This window comes from Homo sapiens, chromosome Y (genome assembly GCF_000001405.40).
Source record: "Homo sapiens chromosome Y, GRCh38.p14 Primary Assembly".
Lineage (NCBI taxonomy): Eukaryota > Metazoa > Chordata > Mammalia > Primates > Hominidae > Homo > Homo sapiens.
In genome coordinates, this window is record NC_000024.10 from 10170000 (window position 1) to 10189997 (window position 19998).

Below are 19998 nucleotides of genomic sequence, written 5' to 3' on the forward strand. Positions count from 1 at the left end.
GATCCAAAACAATTTTTCCATGGCAAGGCGGAGGACCAGAGGGGATCCCAGTACTGTGGGCCCCGCACCCTGATGCCTCCGAGCACACCCTGTCCTGAGCCGGCCAGATGTGTTGGAAGCTCAGGAGCTCGCGAGCTGGGGGAAGGCCTGGAGTGTCAGCGAAAGGGAGACCGCCTGGTGGGCCTGGACCCTGGGCAGGGGACTGAGGCATCATGTCCTGATGACGGATTCCTGTTTCCTGCAACATGGGGAGTCTCCAAAATGGCCTGTTTTGAAACTGGAAAGGAGACCGAAGACACGATGCTGCTTTTCCACGATTCGCTAGAGGTAACAGTCAACATGGTTACACTTTCGGGGGCCAGAGACACGTGAGCAACAGGCCCCCTTGCAGAGGGCAAAGGAACATGGAATCCGGAATCATTGTTCACTCGGCTTGAGTGTGACTCCTGTGTGGATGGGAGTATCTGCCTCGCGATCTGTTGCAGGCTCAGCGTGGGGATATGTCATCTGTGAACCATGTGGATGAAAAACGGACAACCATTCGAGTCTTGGCTCTGCTCTTTGGGGAATTCGCTCATTCCTTGGGAGGTGGAATTCATCTGAATCGCTCCCTGATGAAGTAACCTAGGCTGGCAATCCCGAGGGCCGGTAAGCGCACCGCCAGCCGACACGGCCGTGGGCCCAGCACTCAGCCTGCACTGGGCACCCAACATTTTCCCGGATTTCGAGGTCCTGCTGGTCCTGGAGGCAGAAGACCACTTTTCTCTTTGCCTTCCTTTCTCTGTTTCTTGCTCCTTTTCTCCTTCTGTCCCTCCTTCCCTCTGTTCTTCCTTCTTTCCCTCTCTCCCTCCCTGTCTCCCTCCCTCCCTCTGTTCTTCTCTCCTTCCCTCTCTCCCTCCATCCATACCTCCCTTTCTCCCTCCTTCCCTCCCTCCCTTCCTCCCTTCCAAGGTCCTCCTTTCATCCGTCCTTTCCTCCCTCTGTCCCTCTCTCTCACTTTGTCTCCGTTCCTTTCCCCATCTCTGCCTGGCTTTCCTCCAACCTAGAAAGGTCAGAACCACGGTTTGCACGAGATCTCGGGGTCTACATTTAGTTGCCGGGCACTCCACGTGATGCCAAGGAGGATGGCGGCGCACGGGTGGGCACGGGAGGGTGGAGCGGGGAGGTAGTGGAGTTGAGCTGTGGAAAGGAGAAGAGGCCTGGCCACTGCCCAGGCCAGTGTTTCCTGGGGTGGAGGTCTCACCCTACATCACTGAAGAACGCGGGGGCGGGGGGGTGTAAGCCGTGTGGGAGCAGGGGAAGTGATGAGAGTCCTGCCTGGGCTGGTCCCAAACCCTAGCCGGCCGCCCGCGGACCCACGCATGAGCAGCAGACAGCCCATCTCTGAGTACCTGGGCTGGCTCTGAAATCCTTGGGATGCTCAGCAAAGAATGACAGACCTCCTTTCTGTGGAGTCTCTCGCCGGACCTGGACTCAGGGATCCTAGACAAGTCAGCTGGAAGGGAAGACACAGGTTTCCATACCGAGCCAGAGGTTCACCGCGAAAGAGGGAGCCACCGCCCTGCCCCCACCAGGTCCCAACCCTGCGTCCTAAAGCTCCTCCAGCTGAGCTCAGTGTTCTTCTAGGCTGAGGAGTGGTTCCAGAAAAGCGGGCTTTTCCAAGTCCTTCAACTCCCCCAGTAGCTCCGTTGCTAGGAAAGGTTGTGCCTTTTGCTGAAATTCTGGGGTCGACAGAAGCTCATCTAACAGGGTGTATGCGAGTACAGATGAAGACTCCAGCTCCTGGAGCTGTTGGGAGGGTGCCTGGATGGCTTACATCTGCTCCTGACACGCAGAGGCCTCCATGGGCGCGAGCTGCGGAGGTAGATGTGCCTCGGATTCATGTTCCCACGTGCCCTGGTGACCTGTGGACCCTGGCCGCAGACCCAGTACGGACTCATGTGGGACATGTGAGGCGCAAGCACACCTTGCCCCTGTGACTCAGCCTGAGTGGCTCAAGTTGTCCCACTGAGTACGCACCCAGAAGGCTGCCATGCTGCTGGTCCTGGTCCCTCTGCCATCTGTTTGACTCAGCCTGAGAGGCCCAAGCTGTCCCATTGAGCACCCACCCAGAAAGCCACCGTACTACGGGTCCTGGACCTCCTGCCATCTGTTCGGATGCGGAGGTCACCCAGGTGACTGAGGGTAGGACAGTGCCACTTCCGAAGGAGCCAGGGCAGCAAACCCAAAATCCCCATGTGCCGCGGCAAGTTGGGAGATTCCTTCTGCCTGCAAAGCCTGGCTGGGCTGCAGCAGAGGGGTGACCTTTGCTGTCTGGCTCACGAAAGCCCCCTGTTCCCCACTCCCTGGCGTGGGTGAAGGCGACCAAGGAGGGAGGGTGACACCCCCGGTGGGCCACGTTGCACAGGCCGTGTGCGTGTGCAGGTTCCCTGCCACCCTGGCATGGATACCTGGACCTTCGATTATGACATGAAATCTGAATCCTGGACTCCAAAATGCCGGTCTCTCTGTCCAGTTCGGGTACAGGTTCTGCTCAAAGCATGCTGGCAGGACATCTTTTTCATTCAGGTTACAAATGAGTCTCCTTCGCCATCCTTGTCCTCAGGCTTCTGCGGGGAATGGGCTGTCAGAAGGTGTCGGGAGAGCCATCGCGAGGGCACCTGGCCAGAATTTCACAGACAGACATGGGCAGAGAGAGGCCGGCGGCTCCCGTGTGCCTCAATTGGCCTCTGTGCTTCACGCAGGTCCAGTCAGGAGTCCGACCCCGCCAGTGGCCCTTATAAAGACCCACCAGCTTCACCCCCTCAAGAATATGCATGAGCACCCAAGGGCCCTGGGTAATGGCCCTCTGAAGGGTCCAGAAACCACAGACACAGGGCCTTGTGTGGTAGGTGAAGGTGGGGCCAGATCATCTGGGAAAGGAGGGCTTCTGGGGCTGTCTCCCTGAGTTCTCCAGAATTCTACGGAAACTGGAAGTTTCTCTGTGGGCTCACACACGATTTCAGGGAGAAACCACCCTGGAAGGGTGTAGTGTGGAACTGAACCTCCATGATAGTCTTGAGTTTTCCAGGCCCTCTCCGTGAAGGCGGCAATGCCTGTGGGTGTCGCTGTTGCCGTGATAGTCTCACACACGCAGGTGTGTGGATCTCATTCATTTTCTTTTTTTATTTTAACTTTTTATTTCTACCTCTTAAAGTCAATGATAAAGTCACAGCTACTTACAGCCATCTAAGAAAGTGGCCTTACTCATGCTCATTCACTCGTTCTGTGGCCTATCAAGAGTCACACGTAACAATGGTTTTCCTTTTTTAAAAAAACCAAATACTTTATACAGTGAACTATAGAAAAAAACAATTCTAAATATACTTTAAAAATTCTAGAGAGTTAAGGTAACCTCATTTTTTAAAATACTGAAAATGTAAAGGGTCCATATAAAGAGTTGTATTAAGTACATACTTCCTATTTTAATAATTCACTTGCTGTGTTCTTAAAATCTCTATGAGAGAAGCAGATATTTTATTCATGTCTTTTGGCAAGAGATTCAAAAGCAAAAGTAGAAGGGCTGTAAAATTTCATAAAATTTGTGGGATTTTTAAAAGCTAAATTATTCAATATTTTGTATGGTTATCACACTCATATATCGCCTGGAATATATATACAGCAACCCAACAACAGTGATTGCAACAAAAGTAAGATAAATAGGTCTACAAAGCATTTGATTTCCTTATTAGATAAATGAAGTTTTCATAGAGGAAGTGCAAATTCAGATCAGGTTACATAAGCTTAACAATTATTCAAACCTTATATAAAATTAAATCTAACCCTCACCACTACAAATCTGTAAGGAATCACTGTCAGGAATCTACAGGACTTGGCTCATATTTACATTGGACACACACTTAGAAATTTCATAAATGATGAGATGCAGGCCAAGGGTATTCCTCAAAGGGCTCCACCCAAAAGGAAAAGAAAGAGAGTTAAACAGAGAATTACCACACGTATTTGTGGGTAATCAGCTTATTCCTCAGCCTCTAGACAGTGAGGAGGATGAAAAAATGGAAGAAGATAGTAAAGAAGAGGAAGAAAAAGATCACAGTGAAGCGATGAAGCCAGAGGAGCCACCTCAAAATTTACTGAGAGAAAAAATCATGAAACTGCCCCTCCCTGAATCTTTAAAAGCTTACTTGACATATTTTAGAGACAAATAACTTAGATCAAGAAGAAAGAATGACTACTGATAATTCCTTTAGTCTTGAAAATGTAGCATTTGTTAGGAATTAAAAGAATTATTTATTTCATCAGAGCAAATTATAGTGGAAAAACTATCACTTGTTACTGTCAGTAACATAAATGATGTATTGAGTGAATAAAAGAATCCCTTTTATAAAATCTATTTTTCTTTATATCTTGGAAAATTGTTGTTTCACCTCAGAGTGATTTCAAAGTGGAATGTAACAGTAGTGAAGACTTGTGTGCTATAAATCCTTTTGTGATTCCTTATGGATCTCGTTCATTTTCATGTAGAAAACAAAGGCGAAACTACAGAGAAAAGAAACGCCTGGTGCATCACGGCCTGACGATGGATTCCTGTTTCCTGCAATATGGGGAGTCTCCACTTATGGCCTGTTTCCCAACAGGAAACTGGAAAGGAAAGTGAAGACACGGTGCTGCTTTTCCACGCTTCTCTGGAGGTTTCTGTGTCCCCACAGAGCTCGGGAAACAAACAATCAACATGGTCACGCTTTGGGGGCCAGAGACGCATGAGCAACAGGCCCCCTTGCAGAAGGCAAAGGAATGTGGAACCCAAAACCACGCTTCAGTCGGCCAGAATGTGACTCCTATGTGGACGGGACTATCCACCTCGCGATCCGTTGCAGGCTCAACGTGGGGCTATCTCATCTGTGAACCATGTGGATGAAAAATGGACAATCACCCGAGTCTCGGCTCATTGCTCTCTGGGCAATTCCCTCATTCCTTGGGAGAGGAAATTCTTCTGAATCGCTCCCGGATGAAGTAACCCAGGCTGGCGATCCAGAGGGCCAGTGAGAGCCCCACAGGCCGACGCGGCTGTGGGCCGAGCACTTAGCCTGCACTGGGCACCCAACATTTTCCGGAGTGCGAGATCCTGCTGGTCCTGGAGGCAGAAGACTGCTTTTCTCTCTGCCTTCCTCTCTCTGTTTCTTGCTCCCTCCCTCCCTCTTTCCCTCCGTCCCTCCCTCAGTTCCTCCCTTCCTCCCTTCCTCCCTCCCTCCGTCCCTGTCTCCTTCCTTCTATCCCTCCATCCTTTCCAAGGTCCCTCGGTCCATCCGTTCTTTCCTCCCTCCATCGCTCCCTCTCTCTCTGTCTCCGTTCATCTCTCCATCTCTGCGTGAATTCTCTCCCGCATAGAAAGGGCAGCACCCCGGCTTGGGCGGGGTCTCTGGTCTGCATTTAGCTGTCAGGCGCTCCACGGTGATGCCGAGGAAGCTAGCGGGGCAAGGGTAGGCTAGTGACGGTGGGGAGGGGAGGCAGAGGTTTCGAGACACGGAAGGAAGAGCAGGCCTGGCGTCTGCCCGTGCCAGTGTTTCCCGGGATGGAGGTCTCCGCCCGCCCCACTGAAGAACGAGGTGGGGGGCAAGAGGGAAGGGATGAGAGCTCTACCTAGGCTAGTTAGAAAACCTAGGCTGCTGCCTGCTAACCCGCGCATGAGCAGTAGACAGTCCGCCTCCCAGTACCTGGACAGGCCCTGGGATCCCCGGGATGCTCAGAAAAGAATGACAGCCTGCCTCTGAGTGGAGTCCCTCATGGGACCTGGAACTCAGGGACCCTAGGCAGGTCAGCTGGAAGGGAAGACACGCCTCTCCATATCGAGTGAGAGGTTCACCGCAAAAGAGAGGCCTTCGCACTGCCCCTACCCCGCCCCAACCCCGCGTCCTAAAGCTCCTCCAGCACAGCCAAGTGTTCTTCCTGGCTGAGGAATGGTTCTAGCGGAGTGGGCTCTTCCACGTCCTTCAGCTCCCCCAGTGGCGCCGGATCTGGGAAAGGTTGTGCTGCTTTGCCCCAGCCACTTTGACCCAACGTGGAGCTCACAAAAACATGTGTTGTATGAAATCAAGGTTTAAGGGATCTAGGGCTGTGCAGGATATGCCTTGTTAACAAAATGTTTACAAGCAGTGTACTTGGTAAAAGTCATTGCCATTCTCTAGTCTCAACAAACGAGGGGCACAATGCACTGCAGAAAGCCGCAGGGACCTCTGCCCTTGAAAGCAGGGTATTGTCTAAGTTTTCTCCCCATGTGATAGTCTGAAATATGACCTCGTGGGATGAGAAAGACCTGACTGTCCCCCAGCCCGACACCCGTAAAGGGTCTGTGCTGAGGTGGATTAGTAAAAGAGGAAAGCCTCTTGCAGTTGAGATAGAGGAAGGCCACTGTCTCTTCGCTGCCCCTGGGAATTGAATGTCTCAGTATAAAACCCGATTGTACATTTGTTCAATTCTGAGATAGGAGAAACACTGCCCTATTGTGGGAGGTGAGACATGTTTGCAGTAATGCTGGTTTGTTATTCTTTATTCCACTGAGATGTTTGGGTGGAAAGAAACATAAATCTGGCTTACATGCACGTCCAGTCATAGTACCTTCCCTTGAACTTAATTATGACATAGATTTTTTTGCTCCTGTGTTTTTTGCTGACCTTCTCCTTATTATCACCCTGCTCTCCTACTACATTCCCTTTTGCTGAAATAATAAAAATAATAACCAATAAAAACTGAGGGATCTCAGAGGCCGGCGCTGGTTCAGGTCCTTGGTGTATGCTGAGTGCCAGTCCCCTGGGCCTACTGTTGTTTCTCTATACTTTTTCTCTGTGTCTTAATTCTTTTCTCAGTCTCTCATCCCACCTGACTAGAAATACCCACAAGTCGGGAAGGGTAGGCCACCCCTTCACTCACCAGCAAAAAGATTATGACTTGGTAAAGCTCAGATATTCATTAGTATTTTTCAGCAATAAGGTATTTTAAGTTAAGGTATGTACATAGTTTTTTAGACATAATGTGATTACTAATTAATTAATTAATAATTATTAAATACTCATTAGACTACAACATAGTTTAAGCATAACTTTTATAAACACTGGGAAACAAAATGTTAATGTGACTAACTTGATTGTAACATTTGCCTTATTGTGGTTGTCTGGAACGAAACCCACACTATCTCTGAGTATGCTTGTAGGTTTTTGGTTGTTCTTTGTTTTGAGATGGGGTTTCACTCTGTCACCCAGGCCAGAGTGCAGTGGCATGATCATAGCTCACTGCAGCCTCAAACAGCTGGGTCAAGTGACTGTTCTACCACAGCCTCCTGAGTAGCTGGGACTACAGGCATGCAGCACTATGTCTGGCTATTTTTTTTTTTTTTTTTTTTTTTTTTTGAGACAGAGTCTCACTCTTTCGCTCAGGCCAGAGTGCAGTGGTTATCTCGGCTCACTGCAAGCTCTGCCTCCTGGTTTCATGCCATCCTCCTGCCTCAGCCTCCTGAGTAGCTGGGACTACAGGTGCCCAAACCAGGCCCGGCTAATTTTTTGTATTTTTAGTAGAGACCGGGTTTCACCATGTTAGCCAGGATGGTCTCGATCTGCTGACCTCGTGATCTGCCCGCCTCGGCCTCCTAAAGTGCTGGGATGACAGGCGTGAGTCACCGCACCTGGCCTGCCTTTTCTTTCTAGTGGCACAAGCCCCATGGAGTGTGGTGCGTCCGATCTTCGATGCTTTTGAACAGTGTAGAAAGTATTGCTGTTTGAATTTAATTTTTTACTACATGTATGGTCTCGATAGATCACAAGAAGATCAATAAGCCCTTCTCCTTATTCTACTTCCCTTTCTAGCAATGGAGAACTTTGATTGGATGTTTCCTGCCTACAGACAGGAATGAGTCTGCTGTTTTCTTTTTTAAACCTGAGGGGACTCAGCTTGAGGGCCTCGAGCATGGCCACCCTCCCCCAACCCCCAACTGGTGATTCTGGTGGTGGTGGTGGTTTTGTGTTCCAGCTTCTGTTTTGTTGTTGTTGTTGCTGCTGCTGCTGCTGGTCCTGTCATCATTGTTTTGGTATTTTACAGACTCAGGAGGTGTACGTGCTTGTTTGTTAGATCGGCATACTACTGCCTCCAGTTGTAGAAGTGGACCTCCAGTGTATCCAATACCCACGTGGTGAACGTTGTCTCCGACGGGTGATTTATTCATTCCTCGTCCCCTTCCTACCCTCCTCCTCCCTTTTGGAGTGTCTGTTATTTCCATCTTGATGACCATGTGCGTACCCACTGTTTACCTCCCACTTGTAAGCAGAAGGCAGTTCACTGGGTACATACTTGCTTCCAGCTCTATCCATGTTGTGGGAAAAGACGTGAAATTGCTCTTTTTTGTGCCTGTACCATTGGAGAATTTTAACTTTCTTGGTGGTTGTTTTTCTTTTTTCTTTTCTTTTCTTTTCTCTTCTTTTCTTTAATTTTCTTTTCTTTCTTCGTCCTCCTCCTCCTTCTTTTTTCATTTTTTTCAGCTGGGCTCTCCTACTTTTGTTGCTCAGTTGCTCAGGCTGTTCTCAAACTCCTGGCCTTGAAACTTCCCCCGTCACATCCACCATCTAGTTGTTGAAATGAACATCTCTTGTAAAATTGAAAAGATGAAAAAAATAAAGAGAAAGACAAAAAGCAAGGGGTGAACGTTTCTCTTGCCACCTCCCAGGGTGTACCTTGGACCCGATAGGAGGGAGGGAGCTTGGCTGGGTGGGTTTTTGTTGCTAAATCCTCCCTAGGGCCTCCTTCCCTCTCCTCCTTGTCCCCACTTCTCCCCCAGCCAAGGCTCCCACCGCCGCCATGGGATTTTCCATGGGAGAGATATGCGAGAGGACAGATGCGGCTTCCAGATCTATATCCTGCCAGACGTCTCTGGCTCAGAATCCCCCACCAGCTGCCTACCACCTTCCAGAGAGCTCTGAGGCCGATGCCCCGCCCCCCTTCACATCCCGCCACCCTCCTCTGGCTGGCCTTTGCCCAGCGACCCCAAGGGAACCGCGTTGACACTCCTTTCGAATCCTCCAGCGAAGACTTCCACCAGATGCCCCGGGTGGGCCGGATGGGATGGACTGGATCACCCCGGACTGTGCTGTTCTTGGGGGTTGGTTGACGTACATGGTGGACTGGCAGCCCCAGCATTGTAAAGGGTGCCCAGGTATGGAAATGTCACATAGGATGCCCTCCTTTCCGTCAGCCTGCCTTCAGCTTCCTCAGGCATGAAGACAACTTCCCATCAGAACCTCTTTTCTTCCCTTTCTCCACCACAGAGATGAGATGCATGAGAGGGAGAAACAGCTCAATAGATACTTCTGAACTTCATTTGTGGAATCCTCAGTCATCTACAAACAGAGAGGTGACTAGACAGGGTCCCAAATCAAACACCACTTCCAGGTCCTCACGGTGGGATTGGTCTCTCTCTCTCACACACACACACACACACACACACACACACAGGCAATTTCCACATCTAGTTCACAAACCACACTAATTTACCCTTTTCACAGTATGCAGTCTGAGTAAAACACACCCCAGCCTCTACCCAGCGGCTGACGAAACCTCTTCTCTACAAATTATTAAAAAGATTATCTGGGCCGGGCACAGTGTCTCCCACCTGTCATCCCAGCACTTTGGGAGGCCAAGGCGGGTGGATCACTTGAGGCCAGGAGTTCAAGACCAGACTGGCCAACATAGCAAAACCCCATCTTGATGAAATATAGAACAATTAGCCAGGCCTGGTGGCATAAGCTTGTAATCACAACTACTCAGGAGACTGAGGCAGGCGAGTTGCTTGAACCAGGGGGGCCAAGATTGCAGTGAGCTGAGATCGTGCCATGGCAATTATTGAGACAAAGCGAGACTCTGTCTCAATAATAATCACAATATTGTTATAAGATGAGTTGTGTGTGCTGATACCCACCAGTAGTCGCAGCTACTCAGGAGGCTGAGTTAAGGAGAAGATCACTTGAGGCCCCACAGGTTGAGGCTTCAGTCAGCTGTATCCTGGGTAGTTACCAATCAAGGAGATATGCCCCTCCCCATTTTCTTTTATTTTCTTTTCTCTCTTCTTTTTTCTTCTCTCTTCTTTCTTTCTTTCTTTCTCTCTTTCTTTCTTTCCTTTTTCTTTCTTTCCTGCCTGACTGCCTCCTGCCTTCCTTCTTTTCTCCCTTCCTCCCTTCCTCCCTTCCTTCTTTCCTCCCACCTCGGCCTCCCAAAGTGCTAGGATTACTGGTGTGAGGCACCATGCCTGCTTGGCCTAAAGAGACACCCTTTGAAAGTAAGACACAGACAGCGCCTTCCAGTGATCTGATTGATTGATTGACTGATTTAGAGACAGCGTCTTGCTCTGTCTCCCTGGGAGTTGTGCCATCATAACTCACTCACTGCAGCGTGGATGCTCCTGGACTCAAGTGATCCTTCCACCTCAGCCTCCAGATTAGAGTACCTGGGACCACAGGCAGGTGCCACTGTGCCCAGATCATTTTTATTTATTTATTTATTTATTTTCCCGAGACAGAGTTTCACTTTTGTTGCCCAGACTGGAGTGCAATGGCGCGATCTTGGCCCACTGCAACCTCTGCCTCCCAGGTTCAAACGATTCTCCTGCGTCAACCTCCCGAGTAGCTGGGATTGCAGGCATATGCCACCACGTCTGCCTGATTATGTATTGTTAGTAGAGGCGGGGCTTCTCCATGTTGGTCAGGCTGGTCTCGAACTCCCAACATTAGGTGATCCGCCCTCCTCGGCCTCCCAAAGTGCTGGGATGGCAGGCGTGAGCCACTGCACCTGGCCTTCATTTTTATATGTTTTTCCACAGACAGGGTCTCATCATTTTGTTGCAACCCTCCTGAACCAGCGTCTCAAAGTACTGGCGTGGTAGGCATGAGCCACTGCACCTGGACTCTGGGGAATGATTCAAGACCATGACCGCTGTACTAATTCTTTCTTTCTTTCTTCCATTGATGAATTTTTTTATTACTGATTGATTGATTGATTGATTGATTTTGAGACGGAGTCTCGCTCTGGTCCAGGCGAGGCGAGGCAAGGGGCATCAATTTGGAAGCCGCAGCACCGCCTTCTAAAGCCCCATTCAAATGCAGAAAGCCTTATTTCCTTCCTGGAGTTGGAGCTGATGCCTTCCATCGCCTTGGGCTTCTCTCCTTTCAGAAGCTGTTGCAGGCACAACCCCTCCCAGAGGCTGGCTGCGGCTGAGGATTAGGGGGTGTGGTGGGGCTGGAAACTCGGTCTCCTATTGTTGCAAGCTCAGCCAAGACATCCCCCGACGCCCATCCCTTGCTCACCCTTTGAGATCCCCTGACTCCACCGCCTTGGAGGCTTACCTCTTACTTTAATTTGTCTTTCTTCCTTTCCTGCATTTGAGGAGGGGGTGCAGGAATGAGGGTGTGTGTGGGAAGGGGGTATGGGGTGGGAATGGAGGGGAGAGTCCTAAGGGTCTATTTAGTGTCATGCCTCTTTCACCGCCACCACCGAAGATGAAAGCAACAATTAGCTAAATACCACGTGTTCTCATCCATAAGTGGGAACTTATAGATGAGAGTTCTGCATGGGCAGAACGAGGGGGACCAGAGACGCGGGAGCCTACTTGAGGGAGGAAGGGTGGAAGGAGAGACAGCTTCAGGAAAAAACAAACAAACAAAAAAACATGAAAACTGTTGAGTACTGCGCTGAGTATCCGGCTGATGAATTCATCTGCACACTGAACACCCCCGTCAGAAGTTTACCTATGTAACAATCTTGCACATGTATGTTTGAACAAGAAATGAAAGTTAGGGGAGAAAGAGAGAGAAGGGAGGGAGAGAGGGAAAGAGAGAGAGAAGTGAAACGAAACACCACCTCCTGGACCTGAGTCAGGGGGTTTCCGGCCTTTTGGGGGAACATTCAGCGACAATGCAGTATTTGGGACTCTTCTTTTTTTTTTCTTCTTCTTTTCTTTTTTTTTGACTGAGTTTCTCTTGCTCTGTCACCCAGGCTGTGGTGCAGTGGCACTCTCTCGGCTCACTGAAACCTCTGCTTCCCAGGTTCCGATGATTCTTCTTCTGTAGCTGGGATTACAGGTGCGCACCATGACAGCCGGCTAATTTTTTCTATTTTTAGTAGAGATGGGGTTTCTTCATGTTGGCCACGTTGGTATTGAACTCCTGACCTCAAGCAATCCACCCTCCTGGGCCTCCCAAAGTGCTGGGATGGCAGGCCTGAGCTGCCGGGATTTCAGCCTTTAAAAGCATGGGCCCTGACACTTTTCGCTGTGGCCCTTACACTCAGAATGACGTGTCCTCTCTGCCTTAGGTTGACTCCTTGAGTCCCCTATGCCATTGCACTCTAGCCTGGGCAGCAAGACCGAAACTCTGTCCCCCCACCTTCTGGTGCAAAAAATAAATAAATTAATTAAATAAATAAATAAATAAATAAAATCTCTACACATGACATATAAGTGTGTGTTCCCATAAGTGATTTCTAAGAAATGGCACTGTACACTGAACACAGTGGCCCACGTCTGTCATCCCAGCACTTTGGGAGGCCGAGGTGGGTGTTTCAGAGGTCAGGAGTTCAAGACCAACCTAGACAACATAGGGAAATCCTGTCTCTACTGAAAATAAGAAACTGAGCTGGGCACGGTGAGGTAGACAGCTGTAATCCCAGCTACTCAGGAGGTTGAGGTGGGAGAATAGCTTGAATCTGGAAGGCAGAGGTTGCAGTAACCCGGGATGGCGCCACTGCACTACAGCCTGGGTGACAGAGTGATACTTGGTCTCCAAACAAATAAATAAATAAATGTAAAAAAGAAAGAAAGAAAAGAAAAGGAAAGGAAAGGAAAGGAAAGGAAAGAAGAAAAGAAAAGAAAACAAAAGAAAAGAAAAGAAAAGAAAAGAAAAGAAAAGAAAAGAAAAGAAAAGAAAACCAGAAAAGAAAGAGAAAATGAAAGAAAAGACACTGTATTGCTACTGGGCCAGGACCTCTCTTTCTGTGTATTTCTCTCTGTCTCTCTGTCCATCTCTGTCTTTCTCTATCTGTCTCTTTCTCTGTCTGTCTGTCTCTTTCTTTCTCTCTATCTCTGTCTCTCTCTGCCTGTCTCACGGTGTCTGTCTTCTAACTCTCTTTCTCTGCCTGTCTGTCTCTATCTCTCCCCCTCCCTGTCTGTTTCTCTCTCTCTCTGTCTCTCTCTTTCTGACTGTTTCTCTCTGTCTGTCTCTCTCTGTCTGTCTCTGTTTCTCTCTGTCTCTCTCTGTCTCTTTTTTTCTCTGTCTCTCTGTTTGTCTCTCTATTTCTTTTTCTGAGTCTCTCTGTCTGTCTCTATCACTCTCTCTCTCTGTGCCTATCTTCTGTCTTACTCTCTTTCTCTACCCTTCTGTCTCTCTCTTTGTCTGTCCCTCTCCCTCCCTTTCTGTCTCTCTCTCTCACTCTCTCTCTGTCTCTCACTCTTTCTGTTTCTCTCTGTTTCTCTCTCTCCATCTCTCTCTGTCTCTCTCTTTCTCTCTGTCTCTCTCTCCCTCTGCCTGTCTCTCTCACTGTGTCTGTCTTCTGTCTTACTCTCCTTCTCTGTCTGTCTCTATCTCCCCCTCTCTTTCTGTTTCTCTCTCTCTCACTCTCTCCGTCTCTCTCTTTCTGTCTGTTTCTCTCTGTCTGTCTCTGTCTCTCTGCCTGTCTGTCTCTCTCTCTGTCTCTCTCCCTCCCTGTCTGTCTGTTTCTCTCTTTCTCTATCTCTCTCTTTCTGTTTCTGCCCATCTCTGTCTTTCTCTGTCTCTCTTTCTCTCTGTCTCTGTCTCTCTCTTTCTCTGCCTGTCTCTCTCGCTGTGTCTGTCTTCTGTCTTACTCTTTCTCTGCCTTTCTGTTTGTCTATCTCTCTCTCTCCCTCCCTTTCTCTCTCTCTGTCTCTCTCTCTTTCTGTTTCTCTCTGTCTCTGTCTCTGTGTGTCTGTTTCTCTCTCTTTCTCTGTCTCTCTCTCTGTTTCTGTTTATTTCTCTCTGTTTGTCTCTCTCTCTCTGTCTCTCTCCCTCCCTGACTGTCTGTTTCTCTCTCTGTCTCTGTCTGTCTCTCTTTCTGTCTGTTTCTCTCTGTCTCTCTCTGTCCATCTCTGTCTTTCTATGTCTGTCTCTTTCTCTGTCAGTCTGTCAGAGCCCCCGTGCTGGGCAGGGCCCTGCCTCTTCCAAGAAAGTGAGAAGCACCTGCTTAGAGAGGCCGAGAGGAATCTAGACAGACGGGCCTTGCTAGACTTCGCCACTCGGTGCATGATTTCGGGAGGTCGAGGCCGGATCCTCACTTGGATGGAAGGGGCATTTTCCAACTTTTCTCTCTGTCATGTGTGGCATGCCTACTTCTTGTATTTCCCTGATAAGCTCCTCGACTTAGAAATACATGGTTAAGGCCAGGCGCAGTGGCTCACGTCTGTCATCACAGCAGTTTGGGAGGCCGAGGCGGGTGGATCACCTGAGGTTGGGAGTTCGAGACCAGCCTTGCCAACACAGCAAAACCCCATCTCTACTAAAAATATTAAATTGAGTCGGGCGCGGTGGGGCAGGCGCCTGTAATGCCAGCTACTCGGGAGGCTGAGGCAGGAGAATCACTTGAACCTGGGAGGCAGAGGCTGCAGTGAGCCGAGATCGCGCCACTGCACTACAGCCCGGGCTGTAGAGTGAGTGAGACTCTGTCTCTAAATAAATAAATAAATAAATGCATTCTTTTCCGTGCTGACTGACACTTGCAGGCATCGGTTGTCTTCAGGCATCACTTAGTGGCCACTGTTATTGAAAGTCGATGTGACACAGAGGGAGGTCTCCTGGACTTCACCGAGCCTGGGGCAACGGGTTTCTCTCTCTCCCTTCTGGAGGCCCCTCCCTCTCTACCTGGTTGCCTAGGGAACCTCCGCCCTGGCGGGGGCCCTATTGTTCTTTGATTAGCGCTTTAGTTTTCTTTGTGTGTTGGTTTCTTTCATGCGCATTGACTCTTCTACTTGGGTTTTAGGAGGGGTCAATTTAATTTTCAAGTCGCTGCCTGGCTCCCCCCATTACCTATGTCCCTTTACCTTCATTTAGTGAATCACTTAGGTGGGTTCCCCCCAAAACCCCTACCCCCCGCCTCCCAACACCCTGCTTGGAAACCTTCCAGAGCCACCCAGGTGCGCCTCCCTCTTCTCTCCCCTTCTCCCACCCCTTGCCAGAGATCTCATTCTTGCCAGGCTGACATTTGCAACGTTGGGCGTCAGGCCTCACTCAGTGGCCATGGTTTTTGAAGATGGGGGTGGCACGGTCCCACTTCCCCAGAGACAGCTTGGGCCGATGGCATAGCCCTTGACCCGTGTGGGCAAGCGGGCAGGTCTGCAGTTTTGGGGTTTTCCCCAGCTTCCTTCTTCAGGCCTCCCTCCCTAGGAAAGCTTCACCCTGGCTGGGTCTCAATCACTTTTTATCATGATGTTTTAGTTTCTCGCCCTCCTGCTGGCATAGTTTCACAATGGGAATGGGGTCACAGCTCTAGTCTGGACCTTCTTAGTATTTGCCCAAAATTGAAACGCTTTCTGAAAACTAATACTTTGCTCACTTAAGATTTCCAGGGACGGTGCCTTGGTCCGTGTTTGTTGTTTTGTTTTGTTTGTGTTTTTCCTTTTTCGTATGTATTTCTTTTCAGATGAAGTAGAAATCCCCAGTTTTCAGGAGGACATATATTTTCCCCAAGACATGTTAGCTGCTGTTTTCTCCTGTTGTTAACTAGCGCTTTTGTGAATCTCTCAACGTGTGGTGAGAGCCGGTTGATATTTACTATACTTCAGAGCATCTTATTTTCTGGAAATACGTAAGTGAATGCTGCTGCTGCTCTTGCTGCTGCTGTTGCTCTTGTCGCTGTTGTTGTTGTTGTTTTCAAAGACCACCCTAGACACCGTTTACGGGATCAAAAGCATTATAAAATATGTGTAATTATTTCCTGATCATGCCCTTCCTCCTCCTCTCTCTGTCTCTCTGTCTGTCTCTGTCTCTCTCTTTCTCTGTCTCTCTCTCTCTCTGCCTATTTCTCTCTCTCTCTCTGCCTGTCTCTCTCACTGTGCCTGTCTTCTGTCTTACTCCCTTTCTCTGCCTGTCTGTCTCTCTCTCTGTGCTTGTCTGTCTTTCACTGTCTCTCTCTCTCCGTGTCTGTTTCTCTCCATCTCTGTCTCTGTCTCTCTTTCTGTCTGTTTCTCTCGGTCTCTCTCCCTCCATCTCTGTCTGTCTCTTTCTTTCTCTCTGTCTCTATCTCTCTCTCTGCCTGTCTCTCTCACTGTGTCTGTCTTCTATCTTACTCTCTTTCTCTGCCTGCCTGTCTCTCTCTCTCTGTTTCTCTCTGTCTCTCTCTGTCCATCTCTGTCTTTCTCTGTCTGTCTCTTTTTCTGTCTGTATCTCTCTTTCTCTGTCTCGCTGTCTCTGTCTCTCTCTCTCTGTCTCTCTCACTGTGTCTGTCTTCTGTCTTATTCTCTTTCTCTGCCTGTCTGTCTGTCTGTCTGTTGGTCTCTCTCTCTTGCTCTCTCTCCCTGTCTCTCTGTTTGTCTCTCTCTCTCCCTGTTTTTTTCTCTCTTGTTTTTTTCTCTCTCTCTCTTTGCCTGTCTGTTTCTCTGTCTCTGTCTCTCTGTCTCTCTCTCTCTGTCTCTCTCTCTGTGTCTGTCTTCTGTCTTACTTTCTCTGCCTGTCTGTCTGTCTGTCTCTTTCTCTCCTTGTCTGTTTCTCTCTCTGTCTCTGTCTCTCTCTTTCTGTCTGTTTCTCTCTCTCCCGCTGTCTGTCTCTGTCTTTCTCTCTCTGTCTCTCTCTCTGTCTCTTTCTTTCTCTCTGTTTCTCCATCTGTCTCTGTCTCTCTCTCTTTGTGTGTGTGTCTGCCTTCTGTCTTACTCTCTTTCTCTGCCTGTCGGTCTTCCTGTCTGTCTGTCTCTCTCTGTCTCTCTCTCTCTCTGTCTCTCTCTCTGTCTCTATCTCTCTTTCTGTTTCTCTCTCTGTCCATCTCTGTCTTTCTCTGTGTCTTTATCTGTCTGTCTGTCTCTCTCTCTCTCTGTTTTTTTCTCTTTGTGTATCTTTGTATCTCTCTGTCTGTCTCTCTCTGTCTCTGTCTCTCTCTTTCTTGCTCACTCTCTCGCTCTTGCTATCTCCCGCCCTCTCTTTCTTTGCAAAATAAGTTCAAGTACATCTAATCTAATCCATTACCATGGCCTGAATTCTTAACTTTAGACATCCCAGATATGATCTCCCTACAGAATGCTGTACAGAACTGGTGAGTTGATTTCTGGACTTGGAAACCTCATAGATACTACATATTAATAAAGATCCAACCCTAAAATCTGGGGTTGCCTCTCCCTCAACTGTCTCAAAAAGGCATATATCTGTTCACCTAGGATGCTGGGAGGGTTTTCTCAATGTGCATCTGCTCGTGTCCTACATGACCTGTGACCAAGCCCTGTCCGTTCTGTCTCAAATATGTATCTGCAAACACTTCTCTCCATTTCCACAACTACCCACAGCCCACTGTGGAACCACTGGCCCTTTGAAAAAAATCCCAGAGGTGGCTTTGGCTTTTTGGCTAGGAGGCCTAAACCTGCTGAGAACTTTCCTGCCCAGGATCCTGTGTGAACAAAAGTGCCTCTGCTGGGAGCTGGGATCCTTGGGACCATGCTTGCTAGTGCTGGATGAGTCTCTGGAAGGAAGCATGGGACTCCGCAAAGCTGACTTCTCCCACTGAGGTCAAATGGATACCTCTGCATTGGCCCAAGGCCTCCAACTTACATCACCGTCATCATCACTGTCAGCATCCTTGTGAGCCTGCCCAAGGGCCCGACTCCAGGGAGACTCTTGGGAGCCCTGCCGTCCTCAGCTAAAGTCCAAAGGGATGGCGACTTCCACTCACAAGGTCCCCACTGAACTGCAAAGATGTGGAGCATAGGTCAGAGAGGGGACCAGGAGGGAAGGCGTCCTGACAGGCGATGAGTTCCCTAGGCTCTGGCCACCCCACTCACGTCCCACGTCCCGGGCACCCGTGGGACACCGCCGCTTTATCACCTCCTTTGTCCACAGCTGGCCCCACCCCATCCTGTAACCCAGGCACACACGCTGGAGGTTATAAAACCACATGGCGTTAATAGAGCCTGACCGAGGGAGAGCTCATTTCACGAGGCAGAGGGGTGCGGTGGGGTGGGGTGGGGGTTGGGGGGTCTGTAGAAAGCCTGATTCTCCCTCGTGGGTGGCTACAGGATGCAAATGAATATCGCTTCTTGGGCGGAGGGGCTTCCTTAGGCCATCACGTTTGCGGGGCTATCTCTCAAACCCTTCCTTGAGGCCACAGAATAGATTCCACCACACCCCTCCACCTTTCCCCAGGTGCTGGATGTATCCTGTCAAGAGACCTGAGCCTGACACATTGAGTTAAACACCTTTATTGTCTTTGTGTGTTTGTTTGTTTCTGAGATGGAGTCTTGTTCTGTACCCCCCGGCTGGAGTGCAGTGGCGTGATGTCAGCTCACTGCAACCTCTGCCTCCTGGGTTCCAGCGATTCTTCTGCCTCAGTGACACCATGCCCGGCTCATTTTTTATTTTTAGTAGACATGGGGTTTGACCCTGTTTCATCGGTTTTCACTGGAGATTCTAGATTCGAGTCACACCTCATTGTGTGTCACATCATGACTTCTTTTTTTTTTTTAAGCAAAATATATCTGCTTTATTTGAGTGGCTTTGTGTATCATTATAATTGTGTTATAGATGAAGAAAAGGTATTAAACACAGTGATAATGATAATGAAAGTGAAAACAAAAGAAAGTCTATCTATTTTGTAGTTAGAATAAAGTTGCTCAGTATTTAGAGTTACCTAAATAAGTCAGCATTTAAACTTCTCCTAGTAAAAGCTTGCCGATCTGAATAATCCTCCTTTAAACACAATTTTTGATATGGTTAAGTTTTTTAAGAATGCGCCTCTTGCAAAATAGCTGAACAGACAATACACATTTAAAAAAGAACAACACAAGGATCAACCAGACTTGAGAAAAAATCAAAAACAACACAAGTCTTATGAAGAACTGAGTTCTTAAAATATTACGGAGAACATAGCTATCGGAAGAGAAGGCAGTATTGGCAAGTTGATTGTTACATTGGTTAGCAAAAGCTAGCACTTTTTTTGGCAATCTTTCAGGCACTGCAACTACTACTGTAAAATGAGATATAATCCATTAAACAACATATTCACAAATCAAAAAATGTTTTAGTAATATAATGCTTCAGATTTAGAAGGAAATCAAGTGATAAACCACTGCTATAATAATTAACCCCAAAGATAACCGTATCTGACAAAAACTACCACAGAGTTATGACTTCAGAATTATACTTTCTCTTGATATTTATTTATTTATTTATTTTATTGTATTTTTTTTTCTTGAGACAGCGTCTCACTCTGTGGCCCAGGCTGGAGTGCAATGGCATAATCTTGGCTCACTGCAACATCCACTTCCTGGGTTCAAGCGATTCTCCTGCCTCAGCCTCCTGAGTAGCTGAGACTACAGGCACCTACCACCATGCCCAGCTAATTTTTATACTTTTAATAGAGATGGGGTTTCACCATGTTGGCCAGGATGGTCTTGATCTCTTGACCTTGTGAGCCACCCGCCTCGGCCTCCCAAAGTGCTGGGATGACAGGCATGAGCCACCGTGCCTGGCATTCTCTTGATATTTAAGCTTTTAAGTCAGTCCAGAAAAAATACAATAAATGTCAACAGTAAGTATGGTGTTGAGGCAGAAGTAGGATCAAAATTTTTCATGTTATTCAGTTGATAACAATATGACCTGGTAGTAATTTCCTATGTGTCTACTTATACCCAAGTACAAAAAAGTAAAATAGAGATACTGCTAAATAAAAGGGTACACTAAGTTCTTAATAGTAACTCAATAAACTGGAACACTGTCAAAAAGCAGCAACTAGTGATTTTTTTCAGTGTTTTTTTCTATTACC

General features: G+C 48.4%; 2 pseudogenes; one reads left to right on the plus strand and one right to left on the minus strand.

The window, feature by feature from the left end:
- DUX4L31 (double homeobox 4 like 31 (pseudogene)) lies at positions 1615–2654 on the minus strand (annotated as a pseudogene).
- PCMTD1P1 (protein-L-isoaspartate (D-aspartate) O-methyltransferase domain containing 1 pseudogene 1) lies at positions 3852–4403 on the plus strand (annotated as a pseudogene).